At 40.7% G+C, this 25,055-nt stretch overlaps 1 long non-coding RNA gene and 1 pseudogene across 1 annotated transcript in view; one reads left to right on the top strand and one right to left on the bottom strand.

The window, feature by feature from the left end:
* The window catches only part of LOC101929692 (uncharacterized), a 115,831-nt gene that overhangs the window by 53,520 nt on the left and 37,256 nt on the right, over positions 1-25,055 (bottom strand). The window lies entirely within an intron of this gene.
* WBP1LP8 (WBP1L pseudogene 8) lies at positions 23,459-23,965 on the top strand (annotated as a pseudogene).

Genomic DNA, 25,055 nt, shown 5'->3' with positions numbered 1-25,055 from the left:
TGTGATATATCAAAAGCAGTGCTCAGAGTTGTAACACCTACATTTTAAAAAAGAAACATGTCAAATCAATAACCAAACTTTACTCAATAAACCATAAAAGGAAGAGCAAACAAAATCCAGAGCTAGCAGAAGGAAGGAAATAAAGATTAGAGCAGAGATAAATGAAATTGAGAATTAAAAAATTATACAGAGATCAACAAAACTAAAAGTTGGTTCTTTTAAAATATCAATAAAATTAATATACTTTTACATAGACTAAGCAAAACATCTCTATTCAGCTGACTTTTTTTTACAAGGGAGCCAACATTATTCAGTGGGGAATAATAGCTTTTTCAACAAAAAGTGCTGGGAATACTGAATATTCATATGCAAAAAAAATGAAGCTGGACCCCTACCTCACATTATATACAAAATCTAGATTGGATCAATAATGTAAATATACGAGTGAAAACCATACATGCTTAGAAGAAAACATGGAAATAAAACATTGCTGTGGATTGGCAATGCATTCTTAGATAATACACCAAAAATACAAGCATGAAACAAACAAATGTAGCCAAAATGTACCAGAATCTGAAAACATGTATTATCTATAAAGAATTAGAGGGGAATTTGGTGAAAGAAATATGGGAGAATGGGATATTGCTCTGTGAATGCTTTTGTGCATAATTGTACATTTTTAATTAAGTTAATCTTTTACACTCTCAAAGTGTGATATTAAGCAAGCAAAGATAAGTTATTACAAGACTCTAAAACGGAATGCAATGAGAAACAAGTGAATCCAAATATATTTCAAATGAATGAATGACATAATCAAACTTAAGGGGAAAATAATAATTAATCTGATTAATTTTTGACTGTTCTCTTATTTCAAATTGACTTTTGAACATACTTTGACTACATACTATTGCTTGAAAAAATAAAATATCTGCAAAAAATTATTAAATCTTCATGATAGGATTTTTTCTTTTTATATTAGTATAAATATAACAATTCTGAAACAAATGTATGTGCATTGTAAGATTAAGCCAATGAGTAAATATTAATATATTTGTATTGCTAGAACCCCAGATTCTCACTGTGAAAGGACAGAGATACAGATATGGAATAAGACAAGGAAAGAAGCAGCCCACTGAGTTACATTAGAATCAGTATTATCAACATAAATATACAATGTGCTCTCTCACATGCTCTTTCCTTCTCTTAAAAAATATATAATATGTACATATTATATATTATATGCATAGACACACGTGTGTCTATACATATCCTACATGTACATATTGAGGATTAACAGGTGCTAGTAGAAAATATTAACTTTCTTTGTATTAACAGGTGTTAGTAGAAAGTAGTAGTAGGTGCTAAGATAAAAGCCATAATTAAACCTCCTGGTGAATGAACACACCATCACCTACAATCTTACCAAAAATAGAATCAAGCACGTGTCCTAGTCAAACCTCTGGATTCAACTGTCATTTGGATAAAATGCAAAGGATAGTGAAAATGTCGATCTTCACTGAGAGTCTAACCAGCAAATTTCACAGTGTGGACATCAAGTGACAAAAATCCCACATTTTTCAACAAATATATTGTATGGGAAAGAAAACTTTGAAAAGAAACGTGTATGTTAGAAGGGATTTTAAAAACACGACAAATGAAAAAAAATGGGCAAGACTAAATCATAGTGTCTTGGAATGCATACATGAAGGACACAGCCGTGAAAATGCAAGGACGCCTCTATTGGAACAGTCATGTTTATCGTCACTTTTCAGGAGAAAGGTGGCTGCAATTGAGGAGAGTCACATGCAGGACTTCAGGGCTGGCAAAGTCCTATATCTTGACTTATGTGATGATTACAGGGATGTTTACAAAAATCAAACTATAAGTTTGTTTTGTGCCATGTTTTGTATTGTGTGTGTGTGTTTTGTTTTTCAACTTAAAAATAAATAAAATCAAAACCAAGGCTTCATTATCAAGTAGCACAAAGTCTCCAATCTATAATCTCCTTTGTCTGGATATCTGCATTTAACTACCATTGTCAGAGCTAATCCTGACAATGCATTCATATTTTTAACACTGAAACACAGTAAACAGGGAAAATTTTGCTCCTCTAAAACAGGGCATCTTCAGGCAATCAGAACAACTCAGAAAGTTTCTGTCTGTTGCATAAAACTCCCCTGTGCAAAGAGTTACACAAAATGCTGTCATAGTAAAGGTAGTTAACTAACGGCACTAATTGTTCTTGGGCAGTGGCCAAGTGGAACTTCAGAGACCTGGCATTGCCAGCCAGAAATCACTTGTCATGGGAATTGTCTCCTGGAATCACTTTGGTTGTCCCAGGGTAACGCAGGGAAAGTGGTTAATGGGTCACTTGGGGGTGGCATCTTCATCAGTAAATCACATTTACTTTCTCCTACTAAGAATTTTATTTTTGGCCATGAAGCCAAAAGTCAGCTCTTAAATAACAAGGGAAGCAAATAATCATTGAATAAAAATAGCAGAAAGAAAAAGCTGTGCAAAGAAATTTATGTTATTAATTTGTTATATATGTAAATTTTTATCATACTTTAAGTTCTAGGGTACATGTGCACAATGTGCAGGAATAAAATTTATGTTTTTAAAATTTATTCTACATTATGAATTCTACATTAGAAAAATAAACCATAGCCTCATCACAGGCACTTAAATACACTGAAGCTGCCAAAACAATCTATCGTTTTGCCTACGTACTTATCAACTTCCTCATAGCAAACTGGGAGAAAAAAGCAATGGAATGAATAAAATGATAGCCACAAAAATCAAGGTGGGAGAAATACTTATTATATGTCCATAAAAAATTTTAATTAATGCAAAGTATTAACACCAATGATTGCAGTAATACAGATCTTACAAATGATAGTTTTAGTCTGAACAGGACTATCCAAAAGTTAATTTTCTATAGTAACAGTTTTTAAGTAAAATATCAATTCCTGAAACACATAAAATGGTCCATGAGTATACAACGAGTGAAAAAAAACAAATTCAGAGCAAAGATAAATTAAGAAGTATCTAATATTCAAACATAGTCAAAGAGAGGGAAATTTCTGGATAATCACTTAAACCCATGGTTAAACATAAATGCACATATGTTAATGTTTACTGAATAACTTATCTGTGCCAAGTGGTGTATTAATGATTCATTTTTATTTTTCACTAAATCTTTTCTCTAAAGTTGGTGTAGCCTGCAACTAAATGCAAGAAATCTGACCTAGGACCTGCACTTCTTACCATTTTGCTCATATTTATTCCCTGTGCATTTTTGTAACATGTATATGTTATATATATAGAAAGAGAGAGAGGCAGAGATGGAAAGTAATTTATGGAGTTTGATGTTATGTCAGGGTAATTACATGATTATATAATTAACAGGTTTCTTTTTAAATCAGCTATATCAATAGAAAAATAAATGTAGGAATCAAGAGACTCATTCTGTCCATCTGTGATAGTTCCATCATGATACTGCATTGTCAAGTCATTGCTCCAAAAATATGGTTTAGCTCAACACTGAGTGACTATAGGAAACCAGAAACCAGGCTGGGCGCTAAAGATGCAAAGATGAATGAGACATCATCTCTGCCGTCCAAAAGCTTACTGTCTAGTGGGAGAGTTACACACGTAAGGACAGTAATCTAATAAGAGCTAATAAGTGAAAACTAAGATAAGTTAATAATACAAGATTACAGGGAAGGTTTCCAAAGTCAATGAGGCCTCAAATGAGTCTTGAAAGTGTGCAAGGATTAACCAAATGAAGAAATGTGTAAGTTTTTCAAACAAAAAGGCACAGCATGAGCAAATGCAAGGAGGCCTAAAATAAAGAGATGTGTAAAGAGGTGTAAGCAGCTTTGTGCTGCTGCCTGATAATTAGAAGAATATCGGGAGTAACAAGAGCTATAGAAGAGAGTCACAATTACGGAAAAATATTTATTAAATTATAAGAAATTTATAGCATAAGGAATAGTAGGACCGTTAAATGTTTTAATAAAGATGATGCTTCTTTTTTTAATATTTATTTTTATTATACTTTAAGTTCTAGGGTACATGTGCACAACGTGCAGGTTACATATGTATACATGTGCCGTGTTGGTGTGCTGCACCCATTAACTCATCATTTACATTAGGTATATCTCCTAATGCTATCCCTCCCCTCTCCCCCCACCCCACAACAGGCCGCGGTGTGTGATATTCCCCTTCCTGTGTCCAAGTGTTCTCATTGTTCAAGTCCCACCTATGAGTGAAAACATGCGGTGTTTGGTTTTTTGTTCTTGAGATAGATGATGCTTTAAATTGACCACTCCAGCTGCATTGTGGGAGGAAAAAAGATTTTAGAACAAGACTAGAAACAGAATAATTAGAAAAATGCAACTACAATGCAGATGAGTGATTATCAAGGTCTGAACTGAATAGTGGAAATAGAGATAAGGAGGCAAATTCAAGATATGTGCGTGACAGTAAAATTAACATGACCTGGTGTTTGATTGACTCTGTAAAGTGAAAGGAAAGGATGAATAATCAACAAATAATATTTATTCTACCAAATGCCTCCATGCCGCTTTGATGACAGGATAATATGTAAGCTTTTCTATATTTCAGAAACTATATGACATGACGAAAAGTAAAAAGGGGATGGGGGTAAGGAGGTATCCTGAATTGACTGAGAAATAAGGAGGTATTCCACAGAGAATATAAATAAACATATACTTAGTGTTCAAGGAATAATAAAAAAGAGAACATCTATGTGTCCACCATACAGGATATGAAATAGAACATTTGCCGGCCATGGTGGCTCACACCTGTAATCCCAGTACTTTGGGAGGCCGAGGTGGGAGGATCACTTAAGCCCAGGACACAGGTTGCAGTGAGCCAAGATCACACTATCGTACTCCAGCCTGGGCCACCATGTCTCAGAAAAATAAAAAAACTAGATGTCTTGGAGGATTGGAAACAAAATAGAACTTTACTAGTGCCTTAGACGCCCATTGGGTGCTCCTTGCCAATTGTGTTCTCCTTTATTTCCTGCTGGATATGACCACTGTCCTTCCATTGCATTGTATGTGTTTTTTAATAGACTTTAATGGTTCTCAAGTGATGCATTATTTAGTTTGGTTCTTTGAAACTTATATAAATGAAATTATTTTGTAGAAGTTCTTTCACCTTTATCAGAAGGTACTTTCACCTTGATTCAATAATAAGTTTGCATATTACAACCTTGTTGAATGTTGGTGTAATTCATCCATTCGTATTGCTATATGATATTCCACTACAAGAATATGTCGGACTTCATTCCTCAGATCTATTGTTGATGAACACTTGAAATTTTTCCAGTTTTTAACCATTACAAACAATGCTGCTATGAACATTCTTTTGTAAATCACCTGGTTCATATGTGCAAGATATCCTCTGGGGTATATATTTAAAAGTAAAATTATTGAGTTATTCAACATTACCATGAAATGCTACACTATTTTTTTTAACAATCCTACCAATTTACACTTCTACCACGAACAGATAAGCATTACCATTGGTCTTCATTTGTAGGAACCATATTTGTCTTTTGCTCTGGGGGCTTTGTTTTGTTTTGCTTTGTTTTTTGCTTAGAAGTGCTTTGGCTATTAGGGATCTTTTTTTGGCTCCATGTGAACTTTAGGATTTTTTTTTAATTTTGTGAGAAATAACGTTGGTAATTTGATGGGAATTGCATTAACTCTATAGATTGTATGGGTGATATGGTCACTTTAGCTATTGATTTTTCTAATCCATGAGCATGGGATGTTTTTCCATTTGTTTATGTCATCTATAATTTCTTTCATTAGTATTTTGTAGTTCTCCTTGTAGAGATCTTTCATTTATATAGTTATGCATTCCTAGGTATTTTTCATGGCTATTGTAAATTCAGTTGAGTTCTTAATTTGGTTCTCAACAAATTAATCTCAACAAACATTCAAACAGCTTGAATGTATTTGGTGTATAGAAATACAACTGATTTTTGTGGCTTGTTTATCCCAAGACTTTACTGAAGTCGTGTATCAAGTCTAGGAGTCTTCTGAAGACTTTAGGGTTTTCTAGGCCTACAGTCATGTCATCAGTGAGCAGAGATCATTTGACTTCTTTTCTAATTTGTATACCTTTTATTTCTTTCTCCTTTCTGATAGTTCTGGCTAGCACTTCCAGTACTGTATTGAATAGGAATGATGAAGGTGAACATCCTTGCTTTTTTCCAGTTTCTAGAAGCAACACTTCTAACTTTTGCCCATCCAGGATGATGTTGGCTGTGGCTTTGTCATAGATGACTCATTTTTTGAGGTATACTCCATCTATACCTATATTGTTGAGGGTTTTTATCATAAACAGATGTTGGATTTTATCAAATGCTTATTCTGCATCTAATGAGATGATCATAGGGTTTTTGTTCTCAGTTCCATTTATGTGGTGAATCATGTTTATTGATTTGTCTATTTTGAACCATTCAAGCACCCCTGGAATAAAGCCCACTTGATCATGATGAATTATCTTTTTGATGTGTTGTTAGCTTCAGTTTGCTAGAATTTTGTTGAGTATTTTTACATCTGTGTTGATCAGGGATAAGGATTTGTAGTTTTCTTTTGTGTTCTTTTTAAAATTTTCCTTGTTAATTTTACTGCACAGTATTATTTTAATGATGAATAAAGTGTTGAGCTGGACATGTGTACCTTGTTCCTCATGTTAGAATGAAACTGTTTAATATGTCATGATTATTTATAATGTTGAGAGTAGTTTTTGTGTATATATTAAGATATTTACATCAGTTCTCTTCTATTCCTAGTTTGTTATTATTACAAATAGTTTCAAATGTGAACAAGTGCTTTTCCCACAGCTATTGAAATAACCATATTTTTTTCTTTTATTCAGTTAATGTGGTTAATTTCATTGTTTGGTTTTCTAATTTTAAACCATACATTCTTGAAATTACTGCACTTAGTCACGATGTATTTTTCTTTGGAGTATATTGTTGGATTATATTTGCAAACATTTTTGTTTAGAATTATTATGTAGTATATTAGTCTGTAATTTCATTTCTTTTAATATCCTTGTATGGTTTTACTATCATGGAGGTACCACCATATAAAACAAGTTGGAAAGTGTTATGTCTTCCCAATTCTCTAAAAATATTCATGTAACATTGGCATTATTTCTTTATTAAATATTTGGTAATATTTCTTTATTAAATATTGCATCCACCTAGCCCTGGAGTTCTTTCTACAGGAAAAAAAAATTTTCTAAATAAAATTTCTACAATGAAAAAAAAACTACTCAGTTTTTCTAGTTTTTTTCTGATCATTTCATAAAAGTAGGTATTTTTCATAGGAACTTGACCATTCCTTATGATTGTCAAATTTATTAATATAAAGTTTCATATTTTATATTTATTTTATCAGATAAATAAAATTATATGTTTTGAAATATATATTCATTGTAAAATAGCCATGTTAAGCTAACATATGCATTACCTTACATGCTTATCTTTTTTTATGAGAACACTTAAAAATCTACTCTTAGCAATTTTGAAGAATACAAGTACATCCCCTATGGAGAACAGTTTGAAGGCTCCTCAAAAAAGTAAAAATAGAGCTACCATGTGGTCCAGCAATCCCACTGCTGCATATATACCCCCCAAAAAAGAAATCAGTATATCGAAGAGATATCTGCACTCCCGTATTTGTTGCAGCACTATTTACAATAGCGAAGTTATGGAGTCAACCTAAGTGTCCATCAACAGATGAATGAATAAAGAAAATGTGGTACTTATATACAATGAAGTATTATTCAGCCATAAAAAGGAATGAGACCCTGTCATTTGCAACAACATAGATGAAACTGGAGGTCATTATGTTAAGTGAAATAAGCCAGGCACAAAAAGACAAATACTATGTGTTATCACTTATATGTGGAATCCAAAAAGCAAACAACTGAACTCATGGAGATAGAGAGTAGAAGGAAGTATACCAGAGGCTGTGAAGGGTAGTGGGGGTTGGGAGAGGTGGGGGATGGTTAATGGGTACAAAAAAAGAAAGATTTAATAAGACCTAGTATTTGATAGCACAACAGGGGGATTGCAGTCTAAAATTCAATTATACATTTAAAAATAACTGAAAGAGTATAATTGGATTGTTTATAACACAAATAATAAATGCTTGAGGGGATGAATATCCAATTTTCCATTATGCACTTATTGTACATTGCATGCCTGTACCAAAATATTTCATGTACCCCATAAATGTATACACCTGCTATGTACCCACAAAAATTAAATTTAAAAACAATACATTGTTATCCACTATAGTCACCATATTGCACAATAGATCTGTTGAATTCATTCCTCCTGTACAATGCAATTTTGTACCCTTTGACCAACATCTACCCAATCCTCCTGGTAACCATCATTCTACTCTGTACTTCTATGTGTTCAGCCTTCTTAGACCTCCACATACAAGTGAGATTATGCAGTATCTGGCTTTCTGTGCCTGGATTATTTTACTCAGTATAATGTCCTCCCGGTTCATTCATGTTGTCACAAATGATACTTTTTTTATTTTTTAAGGTTGTATACTATTCTATTGTGTATGTGTACCACATTTTCTTCATCCACTCATGTGTCGATGGATACTTAAGTTAATTCCACATCTTGGCTGTTGTGAATAATGCTACAATAAATATGGGAGTACAGATAACTCATTGACACACTGATTTGATATCTTTTTAATATATGCCCAGAAATAGCATTACTGAATCATATGGTAATTCTATTTTTACAGAATCACTTATACTGTCTTTTACAATGGCTGAAATAGTTTACATTCTCAACAATTACAAGGTTTTCCTTTTCTCCACATCCTCTCCAACACTTGGTATCTTCTGCCTTTTCTGTAACAGCCATTCTAACGGATGTGAAATGGCATTTTATTGTAGTTTTAATATGCATTTCTCTGATGATCAGTGATAATTAGCATTTTTATATATCTGTTGGCCATTTGTATGTCTTCTTTTGAGAAATGTCTATTTAGATCCTTTGTCAATTTTTCATTAGGGTTCCTTGTTTTCTTATTATTGTGTTGTTTGAGTTCCTAAGATATTTTGGACATTAGCCTCTTATCAAATGTATAGTTTGCAGATAATTCCTCCCATTTTGTAGGTTATCACTTCACTCTGTTGACTTTCTTTTGCTGTGCAGAAGCTTTTTAGGTTGATGCTATTCCATTTGTGTTTTGTTGCTTTTCTTGCCTGTGCTTTAGAGTCATATCATAAAATATTATTGCCCAGACCAATGTCTTGGAGTTATTCCCCTGTTTTCTTCTAGGAGTTCTATAGTGCTAGGTCTTACATTTAAGTCTAACTTATTTTGAATTTATATTTTTATATGGTATGAAATAAGGGCCTAAGATCAATCTTGTGGACATTCAGTTTTCTCAACACCATTTTTTGAAGAGACTGTTCTTTCCCCATGTGTGTTCCTGGCACCTTTGTTGAAAGTCAATTGACTATAATATGTAGATTTATTTATGGGCTCTTTATTCTGTGTAATTGGTCTATGTGTCTGCGTTTATGCCAGTACCATGGTGTTTCGATTGCTATAGCTATGTAGTATAATTTGAAGTCAGGTAATGTGATATCTCCTGCCTTGCTTTTTTCGATCAAGATTATTTTGGCTTTTCAGAGTTTTTTGTGATTCCATACAGATTTGAGAGTTGTTTTTCTATTTCTGTGGGAAAATGTCATAGGAATTTTGATAGAGATTGCATTCAATATGTACATCACTTTGGATAGTATGGACATTTCAAACATATTACTTTTTCCAATCCATGAACATGAGATATCTTTCCATTTATTTGTGGCTTCTTCAATTGTTTTCATCAATGTTTTGTAGTTTTCAGTGTAAAGATCATTCACCTCTTTGTTTAAATTTACATCTAAGTATTTTTTGTTGCTATTATAAATAGGATTGTTTTCTTGATTTCTTTTTTTGTATAGTTTGTTGTTGATGTGTAGAAATGCTACTGAATTTTGTATGTTCACATTGTATCCTGCAACTTTACTAAATTCATTTATGAATTCTAAATTTTTTGGCAGAGTTATTGGTGTTTTCTATATATAAGATCATGTCAACTGCAAACAGAAACAATTTAACTTCTTCCTTTCCAATTTTCATGCCTTTTATTTCTTTCTTTTGCCTAATTGCTCTGGCTAGGACATCCAGTACTATGTTGAATAGAAGTTCTGAGAGTGGGCACCCTTGTATGAAGTTTTCCACAACATCTCTTATCTTTTTATTAGCTATATATTAATAACGGATGTTTCTTCTTCATCAGGAGTTTGAAAAATATGTCTTTTCTCTATATTGTTCTTAATCAGTCTTCCTAGAAGTATTTCAATTTCAAAAAGTAGCAACAACTGTGGGAGTTCAGTCAGGCTGGTGGGAAAAATTTTAAAGATAGTTATAAGAAATCGACACAAACCTTCATGGAAGGCTGGGGGTGTTGTATAGCTTCAGTAATAGATCTGAATGAAGGCGGCCTAATCCTTCCTTGAGTAAATAGCTTAAAGTAGGTGCAAAGGAATGTAAGGGAGTTTATCTAAATAACTTGTTTACTCATGTGGTCCTGAAGCCAACCTTTGATCATTCACAGGCAGGATGGCTCTCTCTCGGGGGAGGGTGACCAGGTTAATTACCCTCTATTTGTGTTGACTAAAAGCCCCTGTCATTTAATGTTTTTTCAATAAATGCTGGCAGGGCTAGCTAGTCAGGGCTCGTGGCTGCCAGAACTCTTTCTGTGCACGGCCCAGCCCCCTAGCGGCTCTTTCACTGAATAATTGGTGTCTGAGTACATTATTCATCCCTCGTGCAGCTGGGGTCTGCAGGACAGACCCCCACAAACAACAATTTGCAAAAGCAAACTTCCCTGTTTTGTTTTTTTCCCAAGATGATAAATTAGAGGCTTTTAGTGTGCCTCGGCCACTTAGAAATAGCAAGAGAGTGCACAAAGGTCAACTCTGTGAGCTCTAAGTCAAGAAGGAAAATGGGAATCCACCAGAATCATGAAGGACATCATAGATCCCAAGAAGGAGAATGTGAGCAAACAGTCAACATGACAGCAACCAGCTTATAAAAGTGAGCGAAGTCCTAGTATGTGAGAGAGGCAGAGAGCCTCCCTCTGTAACTGACATTTTCACTGTGAATCTGAGCAACCCCAGCCAAGTTGTTGCATTTTGTTTCTCCCAAGGCCTGGAGTCAACATGGGGAGAGGCTTGGAGATGCTGTGAAGCAAAGACACTGGGAACAGCTGCAGACATTTTCCCAGACCAGGAAGTAAGAGCAAGATGCCATTTTCAATCTGGATGCATGCAAAGTCAGCTTTTTTTTTTCTTTTTGTGACCCAGCAGAATGCCTGCACAGGCATTTTAGTCTCAGGCCAAAGATTGGAACAACTGCTTTGGGGCTTGGTAGGGACCTTCACAGCCATATTGTGGGAAACACCTCAGCAGTATGTGCTGGAATTGTGCTTTCCCCCATCGCAGCCTCGGGGCAACAGAAAAGCTGCTACAGCTGTAATTTCTCCCAGGTGATGAAACTTGCAGCCAGGGCAAGCTTGGAGACCTACAACCAGTCTGCAGGTGTCATTGCTGGGTGCCCCAGCCTGTTCCCCTGAGAATGTGATACAGCAGGGCTTTCTCTGCTTCACCCCCAGGCAGAAATTCAGGCATTGGAGCACCTGTCTACCTGGACCAGCATCCTGAGCTACCCCACCGTTTGTAAACATAGGTTGTGGTGCAGTGGGGCCCTCTCCAGTCTATGGCCAGGCAGATTTCCAGGTATGTGGAGTACCCACTTGACTGGATCAGCAGCCTGAGCTTCCCCAACCTTCCTGTGCTGAGATTATAGTGCAGTGAGGCCCTCTCATCTCCACACATAGGCAGACCTCCAAGCAATTAGAGCACCTGCTCCTATGGAGAACTTAAATTTACAAGAAAAAAAAAAACCATCAAAAATTGGCCAAAGGACATGAACAGACAATTCTCAAAAGAAGACATGGATGTGGCCAACAAACATATGAAAAAAAGCTCAAATCACTGATCATTAGAGAAATGCAACTCAAAACCACAATGAGATACTATCTCAAACCAGTCTTAATGGTGATTATCAAAAACTCCAGAAACAACAGTTGCTGGTAAGGCTGTGGAGAAATAGGAATGTTTTTACACTGTTTGTGGGAATGTAAATTAGTTCATTCACTGTGGAAGGCAGTGTGAAAATTCCTCAAAGATCTAGAACCAGAAATGCCATTTGCCCCAGAAATCCCTTTACTGGATATATGCCCAAAGGAATATAAATCATTCTATTATAAAGATACATGCACAGGGCTGGGTGCAGTGGCTCACACCTGTAATCCCAGCACTTTGGGAGGCCAAGGCGGGTGGATCACCTGAGGACAGGAGTTTGAGACCAGCCTAGCCAACATGGGGAAACTCCATCTCTACTAAAAATACAAAAATTAGCCAGGTATAGTGGTGCACACCTGTAATACCAGCTACTTTGGAGGCTGAGGCAGGAGAATCGCTGGAACCCAGGAGGCAGAGGTCAAAGTGAGCCAAGATCATACCATTGCACTCCAGCCTGGGCAACAAGAGCAAAACTCCATCTCAAAAAAATATATATATATACATATACATACATATATATACACATATATATACATATATACAGATATTATATATGTAAATGTATATATATGTGTATATATATACACACATATATATACACATATATATACATATTATAACTACATATATATACACACACACATACATATACATGCACACATATGTTTATTGCAGCACTATTTACGATAGAAAATACATGGAATCAACCCAAATGCCCATCAATGATATATTGGATAAAGAAAATGTGATATATATTCACCATGGAATACTATGCAGCCATTAAAATAAATGAGATCATGTTCTTTGCAGGGACATGGATGAAGCTGGAAGCCATCACCCTCAGCAAACTAACACAGGAACAGAAAACCAAACACCACATGTTCTCAGTCGTAAGAGGGAGTTGAACAATGAGAGCAAACACATGGATACATGGAGGGGAACACCACACACCAGGGCCTCTCAGGGGGACAGGGGGTAGGAGACCATCAGGACAAACACGTGGGTACATGGAGGGGAACAACACACACCAGGACCTCTCAGGGGGACAGGGGGTAGGAGACCATCAGGACAAACACGTGGGTACATGGAGGGGAACAACACACACCAGGGCCTCTCAGGGGGACAGGGGGTAGGAGACCATCAGGACAAACACGTGGGTACATGGAGGGGAACAACACACACCAGGACCTCTCAGGGGGACAGGGGGTAGGAGACCATCAGGACAAACACGTGGGTACATGGAGGGGAACAACACACACCAGGGCCTCTCAGGGGGACAGGGGGTAGGAGACCATCAGGACAAACACGTGGATACATGGAGGGGAACAACACACACCAGGGCCTCTCAGGGGGACAGGGGTAGGAGACCATCAGGACAAACACGTGGGTACATGGAGGGGAACAACACACACCAGGACCTCTCAGGGGGACAGGGGGTAGGAGACCATCAGGACAAACACGTGGGTACATGGAGGGGAACAACACACACCAGGACCTCTCAGGGGGACAGGGGGTAGGAGACCATCAGGACAAACACGTGGGTACATGGAGGGGAACAACACACACCAGGGCCTCTCAGGGGGACAGGGGGTAGGAGACCATCAGGACAAACACGTGGGTATATGGAGGGGAACAACACACACCAGGGCCTCTCAGGGGGACGGGGGGTAGGAGACCATCAGGACAAACACGTGGATACATGGAGGGGAACAACACACACCAGGGCCTCTCAGGGGGACAGGGGTAGGAGACCATCAGGACAAACACGTGGATACATGGAGGGGAACAACACACACCAGGACCTCTCAGGGGGACAGGGGGTAGGAGACCATCAGGACAAACACGTGGGTACATGGAGGGGAACAACACACACCAGGGCCTCTCAGGGGGACAGGGGTAGGAGACCATCAGGACAAACACGTGGGTACATGGAGGGGAACAACACACACCAGGGCCTCTCAGGGGGACAGGGGGTAGGAGACCATCAGGACAAACACGTGGATACATGGAGGGGAACAACACACACCAGGGCCTCTCAGGGGGACAGGGGGTAGGAGACCATCAGGACAAACACGTGGATACATGGAGGGGAACAACACACACCAGGGCCTCTCAGGGGGACAGGGGGTAGGAGACCATCAGGACAAACACGTGGATACATGGAGGGGAACAACACACACCAGGGCCTCTCAGGGGGACAGGGGTAGGAGACCATCAGGACAAACACGTGGGTACATGGAGGGGAACAACACACACCAGGGCCTCTCAGGGGGACAGGGGGTAGGAGACCATCAGGACAAACACGTGGATACATGGAGGGGAACAACACACACCAGTGCCTCTCATGGGGACAGGGGGTAGGAGACCATCAGGACAAACACGTGGATACATGGAGGGGAACAACACACACCAGGACCTCTCAGGGGGACAGGGGGTAGGAGACCATCAGGACAAACACGTGGATACATGGAGGGGAACAACACACACCAGGGCCTCTCAGGGGGACAGGGGGTAGGAGACCATCAGGACAAACACGTGGATACATGGAGGGGAACAACACACACCAGGGCCTCTCAGCGGGACAGGGGGTAGGAGACCATCAGGACAAACACGTGGGTACATGGAGGGGAACAACACACACCAGGGCCTCTCAGGGGGACAGGGGGTAGGAGACCATCAGGACAAACACGTGGATACATGGAGGGGAACAACACACACCAGGGCGTCTCAGCGGGACAGGGGGTAGGAGACCATCAGGACAAACACGTGGGTACATGGAGGGGAACAACACACACCAGGGCCTCTCAGGGGGACAGGGGGTAGGAGACCATCAGGACAAACACGTGAGTACATGGAGGGGAACAACACACACCAGGGCCTCTCAGGGGGACAGGGGTAGGAGACCATCAGGACAAACACGTGGGTACATGGAGGGGAACAACACACACCAGGGCCTCTCAGGGGGACAGGGGGTAGGAGACCATCAGGACAAACACGTGGGTACATGGAGGGGAACAACACACACCAGGGCCTCTCAGCGGGACAGGGGGTAGGAGACCATCAGGACAAACACGTGGGTACATGGAGGGGAACAACACACACCAGGGCCTCTCAGCGGGACAGGGGGTAGGAGACCATCAGGACAAACACGTGGATACATGGAGGGGAACAACACACACCAGGGCCTCTCAGCGGGACAGGGGGTAGGAGACCATCAGGACAAACACGTGGATACATGGAGGGGAACAACACACACCAGGGCCTCTCAGGGGGACAGGGGGTAGGAGACCATCAGGACAAACACGTGGATACATGGAGGGGAACAACACACACCAGGGCCTCTCAGGGGGACAGGGGGTAGGAGACCATCAGGACAAACACGTGGATACATGGAGGGGAACAACACACACCAGGGCCTCTCAGGGGGACAGGGGGTAGGAGACCATCAGGACAAACACGTGGATACATGGAGGGGAACAACACACACCAGGGCCTCTCAGGGGGACAGGGGGTAGGAGACCATCAGGACAAACACGTGGATACATGGAGGGGAACGACACACACCAGGGCCTCTCAGGGGGACAGGGGGTAGGAGACCATCAGGACAAACACGTGGATACATGGAGGGGAACAACACACACCAGGGCCTCTCAGCGGGACAGGGGGTAGGAGACCATCAGGACAAACACGTGGGTACATGGAGGGGAACAACACACACCAGGGCCTCTCAGGGGGACAGGGGGTAGGAGACCATCAAGACAAACACGTGGATACATGGAGGGGAACAACACACACCAGGGCCTCTCAGGGGGACAGGGGGTAGGAGACCATCAAGACAAACACGTGGGTACATGGAGGGGAACAACACACACCAGGGCCTCTCAGGGGGACAGGGGGTAGGAGACCATCAAGACAAACACGTGGGTACATGGAGGGGAACAACACACACCAGGGCCTCTCAGGGGGACAGGGGGTAGGAGACCATCAAGACAAACACGTGGGTACATGGAGGGGAACAACACACACCAGGGCGTCTCAGCGGGACAGGGGGTAGGAGACCATCAGGACAAACATGTGGGTACATGGAGGGGAACAACACACACCAGGGCCTCTCAGGGGGACAGGGGGTAGGAGACCATCAAGACAAACACGTGGATACATGGAGGGGAACAACACACACCAGGGCCTCTCAGCGGGACAGGGGGTAGGAGACCATCAGGACAAACATGTGGATACATGGAGGGGAACAACACACACCAGGGCCTCTCAGGGGGACAGGGGGTAGGAGACCATGAGGACAAACACGTGGGTACATGGAGGGGAACAACACACACCAGGGCCTCTCAGGGGGACAGGGGGTAGGAGACCATCAGGACAAACACGTGGGTACATGGAGGGGAACAACACACACCAGGGCCTCTCAGGGGGACAGGGGGTAGGAGACCATCAGGACAAACACGTGGATGCATGGAGGGGAACAACACACACCAGGGCCTCTCAGCGGGACAGGGGGTAGGAGACCATCAGGACAAACACGTGGGTACATGGAGGGGAACAACACACACCAGGGCCTCTCAGGGGGACAGGGGGTAGGAGACCATCAGGACAAACACGTGGGTACATGGAGGGTAACAACACACACCAGGGCCTCTCAGGGGGACAGGGGGTAGGAGACCATCAGGACAAACACGTGGGTACATGGAGGGGAACAACACACACCAGGGCCTCTCAGGGGGACAGGGGGTAGGAGACCATCAGGACAAACACGTGGGTACATGGAGGGGAACAACACACACCAGGGCCTCTCAGGGGGACAGGGGGTAGGAGACCATCAGGACAAACACGTGGATACATGGAGGGGAACAACACACACCAGGGCCTCTCAGGGGGACAGGGGGTAGGAGACCATCACATGGAGGGGAACAACACACACCAGGGCCTCTCAGCGGGACAGGGGGTAGGAGACCATCAGGACAAACACGTGGGTACATGGAGGGGAACAACACACACCAGGGCCTCTCAGCGGGACGGGGGGTAGGAGACCATCAGGACAAACACGTGGGTACATGGAGGGGAACAACACACACCAGGGCCTCTCAGGGGGACAGGGGGTAGGAGACCATCAGGACAAACACGTGGGTACATGGAGGGGAACAACACACACCAGGGCCTCTCAGGGGGACAGGGGGTAGGAGACCATCAGGACAAACACGTGGATGCATGGAGGGGAACAACACACACCAGGACCTCTCAGGGGGACAGGGGGTAGGAGACCATCAGGACAAACACGTGGATACATGGAGGGGAACAACACACACCAGGGCCTCTCAGGGGGACAGGGGGTAGGAGACCATCAAGACAAACACGTGGATACATGGAGGGGAACAACACACACCAGGGCCTCTCAGGGGGACAGGGGGTAGGAGACCATCAAGACAAACACGTGGGTACATGGAGGGGAACACACACACCAGGGCCTCTCAGGGGGACAGGGGGTAGGAGACCATCAAGACAAACACGTGGGTACATGGAGGGGAACAACACACACCAGGGCCTCTCAGGGGGACAGGGGTAGGAGACCATCAGGACAAACACGTGGGTACATGGAGGGGAACAACACACACCAGGACCTCTCAGGGGGACAGGGGGTAGGAGACCATCAGGACAAACACGTGGGTACATGGAGGGGAACAACACACACCAGGGCCTCTCAGGGGGACAGGGGGTAGGAGACCATCAGGACAAACACGTGGGTACATGGAGGGGAACAACACACACCAGGACCTCTCAGGGGGACAGGGGGTAGGAGACCATCAGGACAAACACGTGGGTACATGGAGGGGAACAACACACACCAGGGCCTCTCAGGGGGACAGGGGGTAGGAGACCATCAGGACAAACACGTGGGTACATGGAGGGGAACAACACACACCAGGACCTCTCAGGGGGACGGGGGGTAGGAGACCATCAGGACAAACACGTGGGTACATGGAGGGGAACAACACACACCAGGGCCTCTCAGGGGGACAGGGGGTAGGAGACCATCAGGACAAACACGTGGATACATGGAGGGGAACAACACACACCAGGGCCTCTCAGGGGGACAGGGGGTAGGAGACCATCAGGACAAACACGTGGATACATGGAGGGGAACAACACACACCAGGGCCTCTCAGCGGGACAGGGGGTAGGAGACCATCAAGACAAACACGTGGATACATGGAGGGGAACAACACACACCAGGGCCTCTCAGGGGGACAGGGGGTAGGAGACCATCAGGACAAACACGTGGGTACATGGAGGGGAACAACACACACCAGGGCCTCTCAGCGGGACAGGGGGTAGGAGACCATCAGGACAAACACGTGGATACATGGAGGGGAACAACACACACCAGGGCCTCTCAGGGGGACAGGGGGTAGGAGACCATCAGGACAAATAGCTAATGCATGCAGGGCCTCATACCTAGGTGATGGGTTGATGGGTGCAGCAAACCACCATGGCACACATTTACCTATGTATCAAACCTACACTTTCTGCACGTGTATCCCAGAACATAAAATAAAATTTAAAAAATATATACACTGATTCATGATCTCCTTTCTCTCCTTCTGAAACACTCTTTAAAACTTTTTAGCATTTCCCCCTCTGTCTTCCATGTCTCCTAACTACATGTTTCTTATTTTCCATGTCTTTATTCCTGTGTTCATTTTGGATAGCCCCTTCTGACCTATATTACAGTTTACTAGTTCACTCTTCAACTGCTTCTAACATACTAATATTCTGTTAAAACCATTCATTTGGGTTTAAATTTCAATTATGTTATTCTCTATGGACATTCTATTTGTTTTCTTTTAATCTTCTTGGCCATTCTCTAGAGTTTCCTGTTCCATTATGATATTTTTAATTTTTTGTTTTACTTTAAACATACTAAATATAGTTATTTTATTTTATTTTCTGTATCTGATACTTTCAATAACTGCAGTCTTTGCTAGTCTTTTTTCTGTGCTCTTGCTCATAGTTTTTTTCATTTGTTTTCATGATTAGAAAAACAGAGAGAGAAGAAGGAGAGTAAAGGGAGGAGGAGGAGGAGAAAAGAAGAAAGCAGAGAAGAAGGGACAGAGAAAAAAAGGAAGTTGGTTCTAACGTTTCTCTAACAACTGGCTTCAGTGAAACACTCCCACCTTGTGGATTTTTAGGTTATTGAAATTAACCAGTCTTCTGGGTGCAGCACACCAACATGGCACATGTATACATATGTAACAAACCTGCACTTTGTGCACATGTACCCTAAAACTTAAAGTATAATAAAAAATAAAATAAAAAGCTACACAAATTTAAAAAAAAAGAAATCAACCTAATTCCTAGATTACCACCTCTTGATTCAAATGCTTTAAATCTAGGCTTTTCATCTGAGTCTTTCTTTTTAGTTATTCTGTTTACCTTCAAAACACTCCTGCTTTGAATCATTCAAAATCTACCTCCCTCCCTCTGTTTGACTACCATCAATTTTTTTGCTCATTCCTAATGCATTAATCTATTAGCTGTGAATATCCAAAAACCCTCATTTCACTGAATCTTTGACAGACCCCTTTGCATCCTCTTGTTCTTCTAATTATTTCCTCAGAAACTTTATGTTCTCTTTTCTTTACAAGCATGTCATAGTTTATATATAATGTGTGTATTGTTTTTATATATACCTATATATAGCCTCTTTTTAAAAGCACTATACCCCATGCTTTGAAATATATTCTAAAATCAGGTAGCATGAAAATGGAAACATAACATACTAAAACATATGGGATGCAACAAAAGCAGTTATAAGAGGGACATTTATAGCAATAAATGCCTACATCAAAAAAGAAAAAAAAGATCTCAAATAAGCAACCTAATATTATGCCTAAAGGAGCGAGAAAATTAGAGAACAATACAAGCCCAAAGATAGCAGAAGGAAACAAATAACAAAGATCAGAGCAGAAATAATATAATAGAAACTGAAAATTTCAATAAAAATAAGAATTGTTTTTTGAAAAGATAAACAAAATTAACAAATTCTTACATAGACTAAGAAAAAAGAAAACAAACTCATAAGTGAAAGAAGAGACATTACAACTGATACCACAGAAGTTAAAAAATCATAACATACTACTATAAACAATTATTCACCAGCAAATTAGATAACCTAGAAGAAATTGATAAACTCGTACCAAAACTGAATCATGAAGAATTCAAAATTTAGAAGAAATCATGAATAAGGAAATTAAATCACCAATGAAAGGTCTCTCATAAAAGAAAGACCCAGGATTGAATGGCTTGGTGGCTGAATTCCAACAAACACTTAGATGATTAACACCAATCCTTCCCAAACTCTTCCAAAAAAAATGAAGAAGAGGAATACTTCCAAATTCATTTTTCAAAACCAGCATTACCCTGATACCAAAACCAGAGAAGGACACTATAATAAAAATAAATTGCAGACCAATACTCCTGATGAACTTGGATGGAAAAACCTTCAGCCAAATATTAGCAAATATTATTTTTAAAAAAACACAGCAAAAAAATTCACCATGCTTAAGTGGGATTCATCCCTGGGAAGCTTATTAGTCTTATTTGATTCGTGTAATCAGAAAATTTCTATGTCTAGTGAAGAGAAATGAGAGCAATAGAGACTCATAGCACCTCAACAAATGTCCAGGCTTGAGCCAGTTAACAAATACAAGTCCTTCAAATACAAAAAAGACTGTGAAAGAAAATAGAACAGATCAATGAAACTAAGAATTTGTTCTTTGAAAAGATAAAACTGACAAACCATTAGCTAGACTAGAAAAATGAGAGAATACTCAAAGCAATAAAATCAGAAATGAAAGAGGAAATATTGCAACTAATACCACAGAAATACAGAGGATCATAAGGGGCCACTATAAACAATTACAAGCCAACAAATTGGATAACCTAGAAAAAGCAGATAAATTTCTAGAAAAATGCAACTTACCTAGAGAAAGTCAAGAAGAAAGATAAAATCTGAACAGAACAATACTGAGTATGGAGAGTATATCAATAATAAAACATCTCCCATCAAAGAACATCCCAGGACCAGAAAACTTCATTGCTGAATTCTAACATTTTAAAAAATAATAATACAATCTTTCTGAAATTCTTCCAAAAACTTGAAGGAGAAAGAGTATTTCCAAACTCATTTTAAAAGATCAGCATTATTGTTTTTTTTTAAAGTGATGTTCCCCTTCCTGTGTCCATGTGTTCTCATTGTCCAATTCCCACCTATGAGTGAGAACATGCGGTGTTTGGTTTTTTGTCCTTGTGATTGTTTGCTGAGAATGATGGTTTCCAGCTTCATCCATGTCCCTACAAAGGACATGAACTCATCATTTTTTATGGCTGCATAGTATTCCATGGTGTATATGTGCCACGTTTTCTTAATCCAGTCTATCATTGTTGGACATTTGGATTGGTTCCAAGTCTTTGCTATTGTGAATAGTGCCACAGTAAACATACGTGTGCATGTGTCTTTATAGCAGCATGATTTATAGTCCTTTGGGTATATACCCAGTAATGGGATGGCTGGGTCAAATGGTATTTCTAGTTCTAGATCCCTGCGGAATCACCACACTGTCTTCCACAATGGTTGAACTAGTTTACAGTCCCACCAACAGTGTAAAAATGTTCCTATTTCTCCACATCCTCTCCAGCACCTGTTGTTTCCTGACTTTTTAATGATGGCCATTCTAACTGGTGTAAGATGGTATCTCATTGTGGTTTTGATTTGCATTTCTCTGATGGCCAGTGATAGTGAGCATTTTTTCATGTGTTTTTTGGCTGCATAAATGTCTTCTTTTGAGAAGTGTCTGTTCATATCCTTTGCCCACTTTTTGATGGGGTTGTTTGTTTTTTTCTTGTAAATTTGTTTGGGTTCATTGTAGATTCCGGATATTAGCACTGGGGCCTGTTGTGGGGTGGGGGGAGGGGGGAGGGATAGCATTAGGAGATATACCTAATGTTAAATGATGAGTTAATGGGTGCAGCACACCAGCATGGCACATGTATACATATGTAACTAACCTGTACGTTGTGCACATGTATCCTAAAACTTAAAGTATAATTTAAAAAATAAATAAATAAAAATAAAAATAAAAAGGCAAACAAGGACACTATAAGAAAAGTATGGGCCAACCAATATCCCTGATGAACACAGATACAAAAGTCCTCAAAAAAAAGTACTAGCAAACAGAATTTAACAACATATTAGGAGAACATTTACCATGATAAAGTGGATTTATCCTCCAGATGTTTCAGCAAACACAAATCAAATGTGATAAACCACATTAACAGAATGAAGGATAAAAAAATAGCTATCTCTATATATGCAGAAAAAGCATTTGACTAAATTCAAAATCCTCTCATGACTAAACCTCTCAACAAATTGGGCATAGAAGGCATGTACCTTAACACAAAACAGGACATATATAACAAGCTCACAGCTCACATCATACCCAACAATGAAAAAGTAAAATCTTTTCTGCTAAGATCAAAAACAAGACAAGGATATTTATTCTCACTACTTCTATTCAACTTATTTCTGGAAGTCCTAGCCAGAGCAATTAAGCCAAATAAAGAAATAAAATATTCAAATTGAAAAGGAAGAAGTAAAATTGTCTCTGTTTGATGACATATTATATATAGGAAACCCTAAAAACTCCACCAAAAAGCTATTAGAAATGATAAATGAATTCAATAAAATTTCAGAATTCAAAATCAATGTACAAAACTCAGTAGTTTCTTTACACTCACAACAAACTATATGACAAAAATAAAGAAATCAATCTCATTCACAGTAACATCAAAAAAAACGTATTTTTTTTGTTTAGGAGCACATTTAGGATAGTACTTAGGAGTACATTTAACCAAGGAGGTGAAAGATCTGTATTCTGAACACTATAAAACATTGATGAAAAATTGTAGATGACACAAATACATGGAAAGATATTTTATGTTCATGGGTAGGAAGAATTAATATTCTTAAAATGTCCTTACTGCCCAAAGCGATTTATAGGTTTAATGCAATATTTATCAAAATTTCAATGTCATTCTTCACAGAAATAGAAAAAACAATTTGAAAATTTATATGGAACCACAAAGGATCCTGAATAACTAAAGGACTCTTGAGCAATAAGAACAAAGCTGAAGGCCTCACAATCTGACTTCAAAACATATTACAGGAAAAGAACAAAAGAAGGAAGAAGAGGGTAGAGGAGAAGTGCAGCAAGGGTGGAGGGAGGTGCCCACGCTGGGTCGGAGGAGCAGGAGGAGTATGGAGGGAAGACTCCTGGGTGGCATGGAGCTCTTGCACCTCTAGGCACTGCCCAGCCCTGTGTCAGCCAGGGCTGAACCCCCACAGGATAAGGAAGCCTGTGTGTGTACCAACAATCAAAGCTACATCTGTGACACAACAGGACACTGCTATGGGCAGTCTCAGTGTTGTAACTACTACTATGAACATTGGTGGTTCTGGCTGGCATGGACCATCACCATCATCCTGAGCTGCTGCTGTGTCTGCCACCACAGCCAAGCCAGCCCTCAAGTCCAGCAGTAGCAACATGAAATCAACCTGACTGCCTATCCAGAAGCCCGCAATTACTCAGTGCTACCATTTTATTTCACCAAACTATTTATTACCTTCTTATGAGGAAGTGGTGAACTAACCTCCACCTGTTTCCCTCCCTGTCTGTCCATTGTGGATGAGCTCTGAGCCCTGTTTTCCTGTGAAGATTCTTTGAATTGCAGCCATTCTATTCACATGAACTCTCACATCTGGAGCACAGATGGCCCTCTCAAGGTAATTTATTGTATGCATTGACTGTTTACCAAACAAATGTCTTACTATGTACTCAGGTATATTCAGCAGCATTGTCGACTGCAGTCCCCTATGCTTGCCAGAAGATACTGTATTCAAAGTAGAAGTTTCACAGTGATGAGTAATCACTGCAATTTTCCCATTGCTCCATGGACTCTCGGAGGCCGGTGTTCTGTTCCCTGTAAATAGAGATGTACTCTGAACCTTTCTGCCTCTCTCAGCTGTTCCTAGTCCTTGGTATCAGCCCCTGGAGATGTCCACAACCACTTAGGACAAAAGGCAAAAGTGGAATTTCAGACAAAACTTTGATAGGATCTTCAGTGATAAACTTGGACTAACTGTGGCCCAGGTATCAGCACTCCCAAGAATTGCCAGGAGGAAGCTTTGGCAGACACCACAGGTATGGCAAGGCCTATCTCCCTCTGCTGAATCCAACAGGGGCAAGCAAGCTGGCATGTGGCTTGAGGTGACCCGAATATGTCAGCACCCCTCAGATGTCTTTCTTTGCACTTTTGAAAAAAATCTCAGAATTTGCTGGCAACATGGCCAAATAGGAACAGCTCCAGTCTGCAGCTCCCAGTGAGATCAATGCAGAATGCAGGTGATTTCTGCATTTCCAACTGAGGTACCTGGTTCATCTCACTGGGACTGGTTGGACAGTGGGTGCAGCCCACGGAGGGTGAGCCAAAGCAGAATGGGGCGTTGCCTCACCCAAGAAGTGCAAGGGGTTGGGGGAATTCCCTCCCCTAGCCAAGGGAAGCCCCGAGGGACTGTACCATGAGGAACGGTGCACTCCACCCAGAAACTATGCTTTTCTCATGGTCTTCACAATCCACAGACCAGGAGATTCCCTCCAGTGCCTCTGCCACCAAGGCCCTAGGTTTCAAGCACAAAACTAGGCAGCTGTTTGGGCAGACACCGAGCTAGCTGCAGGAGGTTTTTTTTTTTTATGCCACAG

Source organism: Homo sapiens, chromosome 6 (assembly GCF_000001405.40).
Source record: "Homo sapiens chromosome 6, GRCh38.p14 Primary Assembly".
Classification (NCBI taxonomy): Eukaryota; Metazoa; Chordata; class Mammalia; order Primates; family Hominidae; genus Homo; species Homo sapiens.
Note: the sequence above shows the minus strand (reverse complement) of the source record. Positions and strands in the feature narration are given on the sequence as shown.